The sequence below is a fragment of the Homo sapiens genome, chromosome 18 (assembly GCF_000001405.40).
Source record: "Homo sapiens chromosome 18, GRCh38.p14 Primary Assembly".
NCBI classification, from domain to species: Eukaryota; Metazoa; Chordata; class Mammalia; order Primates; family Hominidae; genus Homo; species Homo sapiens.
Genome location: NC_000018.10, coordinates 50,955,857 through 50,967,775, shown reverse-complemented (window position 1 = coordinate 50,967,775; position 11,919 = coordinate 50,955,857). Strand labels below are relative to the sequence as shown.

Sequence of the window (11,919 nt, the reverse complement as noted above, 5' to 3'; positions counted from 1 at the left end):
CACATAAGAGTGTTCTTCCTGATGTTTTGCTCATACATATGTGTCATTTTTGGTCTTTGGTTGGGATGAATCTTTACTGTCTTTCATCCACTAAGATCCTTTGCCTGACCATGCACCTTCATAAAGCCCCGTCCATATTCCATTTTCCTACTCTAGGTTGGAATATTTGCTTAACATCTGAAGCTGATTGTGCCATACTCACTCCAAGCCTTGGTGTTCTCTTAGGTAGCGGACGTGGGATTGAAAAACCCAGGCTGGCTGTATACAGAACGGGCACGTGGCGATTACAGACCACAGGGAAAAACTCCTTCAGTTTGAATAACAACTTTTAAAAAAAGTATTTCAAGCTCCTGTGTACTGCCAGATGCACTGATTTCGTGCTCAGCGTACTTGAGGTGGTCAAAATATCCAGCAGCTGGCCGGGCGCCGTGGCTCACACCTGTAATCCCATCACTTTGGGAGGCCAAGACGAGCGGATTGCCTGAGCTCAGGAGTTCGAGACCAACCTGGCCAACATGGCAAACCTCGTCTCTACTAAAAATACAAAAAAAAAAAAAAATTAGCCGGTCATGGTGGCACACGCCTGTAGTCCCAGCTACTCGGGAGGCTGAGGCATGAGAATCGCTTGAACCCAGGAGGTGCAGGTTGCGGTGAGCCAAGATCGCACCACTGCATTCCAGCCTGGGCGACAGAGCGAGACTCTGTTAAAAAAAAAAAAAAAAAAAAAAAAAAAAATCCAGCAGCTTCAAAATAGGAATCGGAGTGGTGTTTCTTGAAACTACCAGGACAGAGAGACTGCCACTTGTTTAAAAATCATTAACTCATCTACTTCTACTTATTGGGCTCTTTTAACCTTTATTCCAGTATTAATGGAGCTCTGACTTTGTGGATAGTATTATTTTTGGGGCTGAGAGATTTTAAAAATTTGTCATGGTCCCTGGTTTTGGGTTTTTGTTTGTTTGTTTGTTTGTGACAGGGTCTCACTCTATCACCCAGGTTGGAGCGCAGTGGCGCGATCTCAGCTCACTGCAACCTCTTCCTCCTGGACTCAACCAATCCTCCCACCTCGGCCTCCCAAGTATCAGTAGCTGGGACTACAGGACTACAACCTCCCAAGTAGCTGGCACTACAGGCAAGCCACCACACCCAGCTATTTTTTTTTTTTTTTTTTTGTAAAGATGGGGTTTCACTGTGTTGCCCAGGCTGGTGTGAAACTCCTGAGGTCAAGCGATCCACCCGCCTCAGTGTCCCAAAGTGCTGGGATTACAGGCGCGAGCCACCGTGCCCTGCCGGTCCCTGGTTTTAAGGAGCCTACACTCAGTCAGGAAACAATCCACTTAAAAGGATATGGAAAAAGGGAGATCACTAGCTAAGAGATGAGTGAGGAAGAGGTAGGATTTGAGCTGAATCTTGTAGGATGATGACACTTGAATTAATGTGGAAATAAAAAAAATAAAATGGACTTGGTCAAGTGGGGTCTAAATTAACAAAGCATTGAACACTGGAACTTGGACTTATCTCTCCTGACACTTGCCTAGCTAAAAGTTCCTTAAGAAGACACATAGCATTCTACAGCTTGGTCTTGATCACAATCAGCGAGGACAACAGTCCCCAACCTTTTTGGCACCAGGTACCAGTTTCATGGAAGATAACTTTTCCTTGGGAGCAGGGGGTGGGCATAGAGTTTTGGGATGAAACTGTTCCATCTCAGATCATCAGGCATTAGTTAGATTCTCATAAGAAGCATGCAACCCAGATCCCTCCCATGTGCAGTTCACAATAGGGGTCACAGGTCTATGAGAATCTGATGCCCCAGCTGACCTGACAGGAGGCAGAGCTCAGGCAATAATGCTTGCTGGCCTGCCGCTCACCTTCTGCTGTGTGGCCCAGTTCCTAACAGGCCACAGACCTTACTGGTTTGCAGCCCAGGGGTTTAAGACTCCTGAGCTAGGGATCTCCCAGAGCAGTATTCTCCATAGACCTGGCTAGGACTTATTTCTGCCCATCCATCAAAGCTTCCTACTCCCTTCTCAGAGGTTATCACACTTTTAGAGAATAGTGGATAGAACTGTTTGTTCATTTAAAAAATTTTCTATCATGGGAAATTTCAAACATATAAAAGTTGAGAAAATTATGAATGAACCTTTACATACAATCATCACTAAACTTCAACAGTTAGCAACATCTGATCCATCTTGTTACACCTATAATTCCTCTGTATTAGTCCATTTGCATTGCTATAAAAAAATACCTGAGACTGGGTAATTTATAAAGAAAAGAGGTTTATTTTGGCCCCCAGTTTTACAGGCTGTACAGAAAGTGGCTGCCGGCATCTGCTTCTGGTGAGGGCCTCAGGAAGTTTACAATCATGGCAAGGTAAAGAGGGAGCAGGCATGTCACATACTGAGGCAGCGAGGAGGAGGGGCAAGGCTTCTTTTAAGTAACCAGCTCCCCAGTGAACTAATAGAGTGAGAACTCAGTCATCACCAAGGGCATGGCACTAAGACATTCATGAGGGATGCACCCCCATGATCTGACACCTCCCTCTAGGCCCCACCTCCAACACTGGGGATCACATTTCAACATGAGATTTGGAGAGGACAACCATCCACAGTATCACCGTCTCTCTCCAAAGGCAACAACAACAACAAAAACAAAACCCTGGATTATTTTTTAGCAAATTCCAGGCAAAATATCATTTTATTCATAAATACCTCTATGAACATTTAAGGACCCTTTAAAAAAATCTCATCACAATATAATGATGGTCAGCATTGTAGTATGTAAATATATATAAAAGATAAGGACTTTAAGAATAGAACCATAATATCATTATATTATAAAAATAAGAAAATAATTCCTTAATATCATCAAATATGCAGTGACTGTTCAAATTTCCTAATTCTCTTATAACTTTTTAAATTTTTAAATTTTTTTATTTTTATGGGTCCATGGTAAGTATATGTATTTATGAGGTACATGAAATATTTTGATACAGGCATACAATGGGTAATAATCACATCAGGGTAAATGGGATTTTCCCCTGTTCTGTGATGTTTTGTCATTACTTTCTTTTCTTTCTTTCTTTTTTTTTTTTTTTTTTTTTTTTGAGACAAAGTCTCGCTCTTGTCCCCCAATCTGGAGTGCAGTGGCACAATCTCGGCTCACTGTAACCTCTGCCTCCTGGGTTCAAGTGACTTTCCTGCCTCAACCTCCCAAGTAGCTGGGATTACAGGTGCGTACCACCATACCGAGCTAATTTTTTTGTACTCTAAGTAGAGACAAGGTTTCACCGTGTTGGCCAGGCTGGTCTTGAACTCCTGACCTCAGGTGATCCACCCGCCTCGGCCTCCCAAAGTGCTGGGATTACAGGCGTGAGCCACCACGTCTGGCCGTCATTACTTTCAATGTCAAAAACCAGTTACTTTTGCAGCAACCTAATAATTTACATTCCCACCAACAGTGTATAAGGGTTCCTCTTTCTGCACATCCTTGCCAGCATTCATTATTGTCTTTCTTTGGGATAGAAGCAATTTGAACTGGGGTTAGATGATATCTTATTGTAGTTTTAATTTGCATTTCTCTGATGATCAATGATGTTGACCACCTTTTTATAGACCTCTTGACCATCTGTATGTCTTCTTTTGAGAGAAGTCCTATTAAGACTTTTAGCTCATTTTTAATTGATTAGATTTTTTCCTGTAGAGTTGTTGAGTTCCTTATAAATTCTGGTTATTAATCCTCTGTCAGATGGGTAGTTTGCAAATATTTTCTCCCACTCTGTGGGTTCCTCTTCACTTTGTTGGTTGTTTCCTTTGCTGTGCCAGAAACTTTTTAACTTGATGTGATCTCATTTGTCCATTTTTGCTCTGGTCGCCTGTACTTTTTGGGTATTACTCAAGAACTCTTTGTCCAGATCATTGTCCTGGAGAGTGTCCTCAGTGTTTTCTTTTAGTAGTTTCCCTAGTTCTATGTTGGGAGCTGAAAAGGCCAAAGGTATCATGACCAACTCAGCATTCCACTGGAGGCTATATGATCAAACAGCAAACTGTTTATCATGAATGCAGGATGTGGGCAAACTCACACTGTGCCTGCCACCAGAAGGTTTGCTGAGGGTGGTCACTGCCTGGCACCGGGCTCCTTGAGGTTATCTACTGGGACATCTAGAGCCTATTGTTCGAGGAATGCAGTTTTGCAAGCCCACTGTGGACCGAGCACCTGACCTTTTCTGCCACCCCACTTCTCACTATCTCTTTTACCAATAAATACGAAGGGCTGTAGAAAGTCTGGGTCCTTGTCCACTAGAAGCAAGGTGCCCCCGACCCCTTCTTCCAAACATACTTGTTTGTCTTTGTCTTTATTTGTCTTTGTCTTTATTCCCGCATTCACTCTCTTTGTTCAGTCCACCAGGGATCGAGGTCGGTAACAGTTCTAGGTCTTGAATTTAAGAACACAGTTTCAGTGTTATAATATTCTGCATTTGTCTGTGTACTTACTGTTACCAGTGAGTTTCCTACCTTCAGATGATATCTTTTTTTTTTTTATTTTTTGAGACAGGGTTTCACTCCCATTGCCCAGGCTGGAGTGTAATGGTGCTATCTCGGCTCACTGCTCTGCCTCCTGGGCTCAAGCGATTCTCCTGCCTCAGCTTCCCAAGTAGCTGGGACTACAGCTGCACACCACCACACCCAGCTAATTTTTGTATTTTTTGTAGAGACAGGGATTCACCATGTTGCCCAGGCTGGTCTCGAACTCCTGGGCTCAACCTCCCACCTCAGCCTCCCAAAGTGTTAGGATTACAGGTGTGAACCACCATGCCTGGCCCAGATGATATGTTATTGCTTGTTAACATCCTTTTCTTTCAGATTGAAGAATTCCCTTTAGCATTTCTTTTAGGACAGGTGCAGTGTTGACAAAATTCCTCAGCTTTTGTTTTTCTGGAAAAATCTTTATTTCTCCTTCATTTTTGAATATTTTCATTGGATACAATATTCTAGGATAAAAGCATTTTTCCTTCAGCACTTTAAATACATCATGCAATTCTCTCCTGGTCTGTAAGTTTTCCACAGAGAAATCTCCTGCCAGACATATTGGAGTTCTTTTATATGTTATTCTATTCATTTCAAGGAAGGAAGGAAGGAAGGAAAGAAAGAAGGACTCACTAGAGGGGCCCTACAGTTTATTTTAACTAACAGAAGAAATAATTAGCAAATTCGAAGCTGGGTCAACAGAAATTATGCAATCTAAAGAATAAAGAGAAAAAAGAATGAAGAAAGATAAATAAAACCTCAGAAAAATGTGGGTCATGGTTAGGCACACGAATGTTGGTGTATTGAGAATATCAGGAGAGGGAGAAAGAAGCAGAAGAAAAGAAATTATGGCTGAAATTTCTCCAAATTTATTGAAAAACAATAATCTCCACATCCTGAAGCTAACAAACTCCAAATAGGATAAATGCAAAGAGACCTACAGACAGGCACATCATAATAAAAATGCTGAAAGGCAAAGACAAGGAGGAAATCTCGAACATAGCAAGTGGAAAATGACTCATCACTTACAAGATTAAGAGATGACTTCTCAGCAGAAACAATGAAAGCCAGAAGGCAGTGGGATAACATATTTAAAGTGCACAAAGAAAAAAAACCTGTCAACCAAGAATTTTATATCCAGCAAAGCTATCTTTCAAAAATGAAGATTAATAAAGACTTTCTCAGATAAACAAAAACTGAGAGAATTTGTTGCTAGCAGAACTGCTTTATAAGAAATACCAGGCTGAGTGTGGTGGCTTATGCCTCTAATCCCAGGATTTTGGGAAGCTGATATGGAAGGATTGCTTAAACCCAGGAGTTTGAGACCACCTTGGGCAACATAAGGAGACCTCTTCTCTACAAAAAATAAAAATAAAAAAATAACTACACAAGCATGGTGGTGCACACCTGTAGTCCCAGCTACTTGGAAGGCTGAGGCAGGAGGATCACTTGAGCCTGGGAGGTTGAGGCTGCAGTTAGCTGTGACCACACCATTGTACTCCAGCTTGGGTGACAAAGTGAAACCCTGTTGGAAGAAACAAAAACAAAAAAGAAGCTGGGCACGGTGGCTCACACCTGTAATCCCAGCACTTTGGGAGGCCAAGGCAAGCAGATCACGAGATCAGGAGATCAAGACCATCCTGGCTAACATGGTGAAACCCCATCTCTACTAAAAATATATAAAAAAGCGGTGGCTCATGCCTGTAGTCCAAGCTACTCGGGAGGCTGAGGCAGGAGAATCGCTTGAACCCAGGAGGCGGAAGTTGCAGTGAGCCAAGATCGTGCTACTGCACTCCAGCCTGCATGGCAGAGCGAGACTCCATCTCAAAAACAAAAAAAGAAAAGAAAAAGAAAAAGAAAAAAGAAATACTAAAGGAATATCTTCAGGCTGAAAGCAAATGGCCTCCAGATGATAATTAAAATTCCCATGAACGAAAACCAAAATGAACTAGTAAAGGTGCACTCCTTGTAGCTGAATGGCAAGTTTTTTTCTGAAGGAAGTTCTAAGAAGCACAACCCTGTATCAATACACAAAATTCCTCCTCATTCCTTTTTACAGTTATCTAGTACTTGCTGTGTGATTTTGTATCATTTTATTCAGTCAGTCCTTTGGGTTGTTTCCAGTTTTGCTTTCTGCTTTTTGTTTTGTTTCGTTATCACAGTATGGTAACAAATAGTCTTGTTCATAAGTAATTTTTTATTTTTGCAAGTGTATCTTTGGCATAGATTTATACCAAGTGGGATGGATGGCTTAAAGGGTAAATACACATATAATTTTGCTATATATTGCTAAAATTCCCTCCATGAGCATTGTGCCATTTTGACTTCCGTTAAGCAATTTATGAGAGTGCCTTTTTCCTCAGATCTTCATCGCCAATAATGTTGTCAAACTTTTGGATTTTTGCCAATCTAATATCTTAATGTAGTTTAAAATGGCATTTATCTTTGATAAGTGCGCTATGTTGAGTATGTTTTCATAAATTTAAGATCCATTTGCTTTTTTTTTTTTTTTTTTTTTTTGAGATGGAGTCTTGCTCTGTCACCCAGGCTGGAGTGCACTTGCATGATCTTGGCTCACTGCAACCTCCGCCTCCCAGGTTCAAGTGATTCTGCCGCCTCAACCTCCCAAGTAGCTGGGATTACAGGTGCACGCCACCAGGCCAGCTAATTTTTGTATTTTTAGTAGAGACGGGGTTTCACCATGTTGGCCAGGCTGGTCTTGAACTCCTGACCTCAAGTGATGCGCCTGCCTCAGCATCCCAAAGTGCTAGGATTACATGTGTAAGCCACTGCACCTGGCCCCATTTGTATTTTTTTCTGTGAACTTTTTGTGCATATCTTTTGGTCAGTTTTCTATTGTATTAGTGGCCTTTATCTTCTCTTTTTTTTTTTGGTGCTTTCTATATATTAGGGATAATAACTCTTTTTTTTTTTTTGTAACAGGGTCTCACTCTGTCACCCAGGCTGGAGTGCAGTGGTGTGATCATGGCTCACTGCAGCCTCGATCTCCCTGGACTCAAGCGATCCTCCCACCTCAGCCCCCCAAGTAGCTGGGACCACAGGTGTGTGCCACCACACCCAGCTAATTTTTGCATTTTTTGTAGAGACAGGGTTTTGCCATGTTTCCCAGGCTTGTCTCAAACTCCTGAGCTCAAGCAATCCCCCCACCTCGGCCTCCCAAAGTGCTGGGACTAAAGGTGTGAGCCACTGCGCGTGGCCAATAACTCTTTAACTATGAAATAAGTTGCACATCTTTTACCCAATTTTTCATTTGTCTTTTTTCATTGCTTAACCACATGGACTTTTCCGTCAAAATACAATTTAAATCTTGATTTTGTCCCATTGTATTTGAGTGACCTGGATCAGGTGGTCATTTAACTTTTCAGAGCCTCTTTTTTTTTATTGGTAGAATGAGGTTAATAATTGCTCTTTTTGCCTTAAACTTTTGCTATAAGGACTAAATGGTGCTTGTTGAAATGCTTTGTAATGTGTTATTCAAATTTAAGTCATTTCAAAGTGATACTTAACACATCTAATACTATAATTTATACAGATAAGAGAAAGCTGCTTTCTCTTTTCTCTCTTGCTCTCTGCTTAGAGGTAATCTACATGTAATATAATAGTGGTCTCCTAGAATCAGTAAATGAACTTTGTCTACAGAGGTAATTAACATAGAATGAAGCGGGAAAATAGTGCCTTTGATTACAAATTAGTAAAAAAGTAGTAGGCAAGTTTTAGAGCCAACAAACTGCTAACATGGCAGGCTTCATCACTATTTTTCTTTCAAATTATAGTCAGAAATTGTTGATCATTTGATTATGTGAAATCAAGCACTGCTTAAACCTATAGAGTAGAGAAAGAGCCCTGTACTGGTCCAAAGGTAATGATTAACCTCAATAGATTGTTCACAGTCAGTTACAGATTCAGCTCCTTGTTCTACTCTTTACCCCCTTCTCACTATTGTGCTTGACTAGTCAAAAGAAAGAAAGAAAGAAGGAAAGAAAGAAAGAAAGAAAGAAAGAAAGAAAGAAAGAAAGAAAGAAAGAAAGAAAGAAAGAAAGAAAGAAAGGGAGGGAGGGAGGGAGGGAGGAAAGAAGGAAGGAAGGAAGGAAGGAAGGAAGGAAGGAAGGAAGGAAGGAAGGAAGGAAGGAAAGAAGGAAAGAAAGAAAGAGAGAAAGAGCCCTGGACTGGGTGAGAAAGAGATTTTGAGACTATATAAAATAAAAAACACAACTCCTGTCCTCATTTTGCATAAAGTCTGGTTGAATGATCTAATATATACACCCTTATAAACAGCTAAGATCTTCTTCATTCGATGTCAGTTAGAATTGTTGGTTACTAGAACAGAAGTTAATTTTGGCTAATTTAAGCAGACTGAAAGGAAACTGGATAATCCACAGAACTGACAGAAAACATGAGCTAATGGAGGCAGCAGGAACCACAGTCAAGGTCTTGCCTCAGAGCCTTCTTAGGGCATTGCCATGGACACAACACCAGTAGATACTGGCCTCTGTTCTTGGTTGCCATGAGGTAGGGAGCAGACGGATCCTCCCCACACCAGCTTTGGCTTCTATAGAGGAGGACAGAACACCTTATCCCCTGCAACACCACACATAGTGAGAAATCACTCCAAAATAACAGAGTTGAATGTCAAGTGTCACCCAAAACGTGTCTAATACACACCTCAAACTTAACTGACCCAAACAGAACTTTTGCTTTCTTCATCTAAGCCTGCTTCTTCCTCAGTTCATTCTACATTGTGTGTGTGTGTGTGATAGTGGCACTTGGATTTCACTCAAATGAACTATTTCCATACCCTTCTTGATAGCATTTTTAAATACTATCCTTCCAAATCTGTAGTGACTCTTTTCTAAGTGAAATTGGGACAGATGATCTGTTACAATAGCTACAATTTTATTTTATTTACTTAATTATTTATTATTTTATTTATTATTTTTTTGAGATGGAGTTTTGCTCTTGCCACCCAGGCTGGAGTGCAATGGCATGATTTCGGCTCACTGCAACCTGTGCCTCCCTGGTTCAAGCAATTCTCCAGCCTCAGCCTCCTGAGTAGCTGGGATTACAGGAGCCTGCCATCAATCCAGCTAGCTTTTGTATTTTTAGTAGAGACAGGGTTTCACCATGTTGACCAGGCTGGTCTCAAACTTCTGACCTCAGGTGATCCACCTGCCTTGGCCTCCCAAAGTGCTGGGATTACAGGCGTGAGCCACCATGCCCAGCCTATTTATTTATTTCTTGAGTCGTAATCTCACTCTGTTGTCCAGGCTGGAGTGCAGTGGTGCAATCTCGGCTCACTACAGCCTTTGCCTCCTGGGTTCAAGCAATTCTCCTGCCTCAGCCTCCTGAGTAGCTGAGATTTCAAGCACCTGCCACACACCTGCCTAATTTTTGTATTTTTAAGTAGAGATGAAGTTCCACCATGTTGGCCAGGGTGGTCTTGAATTCCTGACCTCAAGTGATCCGCCCGCTTTGGCCTCCCAAAGTGCTGGGATTTCAGGCGCGAGCCACCGCGCCCCACCTGTAATTTGCTTTTAAGTATTTCAGTCTACTGATGTATTATTAAGTATTTGTCAACTAATTTAAGCTTTAATTTTAGGGGGTGGTCAGCCAATAAGAGTACTGGAGTGATTGCCTTAAATCAGGAAGAGCTGCACTGCAAAAGTAGCTACCACAAGACCTTCTGCTATTATTTTGATAGAAAACCAATGATTTGCAAATTAGCATACTGAATGTCAAAAAATGGATTTTATTGGTTTGTTAGCATGATGAATGTTAGAAAGAAGCTCTCATTGGTAAAATGCAGGGTATTCAATATAGATAGATTGGCTGAAATAATTCAGAGATTTTCTCCACCCTTGGATTAACAAACTAAAGAATCTATTGAGATTATAGGTGCCTTGGAGTGGCACCTGAGCTTGGATTCCCTGGCTGTCTTGGGGAGAACCTTTTCTGATTTCATGATGCCAAGTAGAGGGCATAAAAATCCTGCCTCTGGGTTGTTCTTCTCCTTGAGCGAACCTTTACTAAATTGAATCTCTCCCCACATTTCAAATGTTGAATCCCTAAACCTCAATGTGACTGTATTTGGAGATGAGGTCTTTACAGAAGGAATTAAGGTTAAATCAAGTCATAAGGGTAGGGCCCGATTGAGGATTTGTGTCCTTAGTGCTGGAGTTCCAGCCTCCAGAACTGTGAAGAAATAATTTTTGTTTAAGCCACTCAGTTTCTGATATTTTGTTATGACAGCCTGAGTAGACTAAGAAGTATGAATTGTTTTGTGTCTGCTTATTTTTTAAATTATTTAGTTATTCTTCTTCTTTTTTTTTTTTTCTTTTTTTTGAGATGGAGTCTCACTCTGTAGCCCAGGCTGGAGTGCAGTGGTGCAATCTCAGCTCACTGCAAGCTCCGCCTCTCGGGTTCATACCATTTTCCTGCCTCAGCCTCCCAAGTAGCTGAAACTACAGGCGCCCGCTACCACGCCCGGCTAATTTTTTGTATATTTAGTAGAGATGGGGTTTCACCATGTTGGCCAGGATGGTCTCGATCTCTTGACCTCGTGATCCACCTGCCTCGGCTTCCCAAAGTGCTGGGATTACAGGAGTGAGCTACCACACCCGGCCAGTTATTATTCTTATTATTTTTTGAGACGGGGTCTCACTCTGCCACCCAGAATAGAGTGCAGTGGCACAGTCTCCACTCACTGCAGCCTTGACATCCCAGCCTCAAGCGATCCTCCCAATTCAGCCTCCCAAGTAGCTGGGTCCACAGGTGTATATAAACACACCTGGCTAATTTAATTTGTGTAGAGACAAGGTCTCACTATGTTGCCCAGACTGATCTCTAACTCCTAGGCTCAAGTGATTCCCCTGTTTCGGCCTCCCAAAGTGCTGGGATTATAGGTGTGAGTCATCATGCCTGGCCTGTGCCTGCTTATTAATGAATATTTGCTTAATGAATGTTTGTATACATGGCAGAATTTGGTCTGAGACTTGTTTTTATTAAAACCTAGTAGTAAGGTTGTAGGGGGTAGCTAACCCTTACCCACCTCAAACCTCTTTGGTATTGTTATTGACTTGAAAGTACCTGTTTTGGGAGCATGTGTCCGAATTGGTTTAGGTTAGCTCACAACATGGTCTGGAGTTGAGACAGTATATCTGGAAGAAAGATCATATCAGAAAATCTAGAAAGTCTAATTACCTTACCAATAGCTCTAATAGTTTTAGTGTTTCTCATCTGCAAAACTACATCCTGAATCAACTGCTCTGTTAGTCTGGGTCATCCAAGAAGGAACATCTCAGTCAGGACTCACTGCAGCCTTGACCTGCTGGGCTCAAGCAATCCACCCTCCTCGGCCTCCCGAGTAGCTGGG

The 11,919-nt window shown here is 41.7% G+C and overlaps 2 annotated features.

Moving 5' to 3' along the window:
• Nucleotides 49–108: an enhancer, noted in NCBI's record as "active region_13323". NCBI's record gives its function as "activates an Ori minimal core promoter by ATAC-STARR-seq in GM12878 lymphoblastoid cells {active_cell/tissue: GM12878}" and the evidence as "EXISTENCE:reporter gene assay evidence [ECO:0000049][PMID:35858748]".
• Nucleotides 5,470–5,670: a silencer, noted in NCBI's record as "peak3151 fragment used in MPRA reporter construct". NCBI's record gives its function as "represses an SCP1 promoter by STARR-seq MPRAs in K562 erythroleukemia cells {active_cell/tissue: K562}" and the evidence as "EXISTENCE:reporter gene assay evidence [ECO:0000049][PMID:32103011]".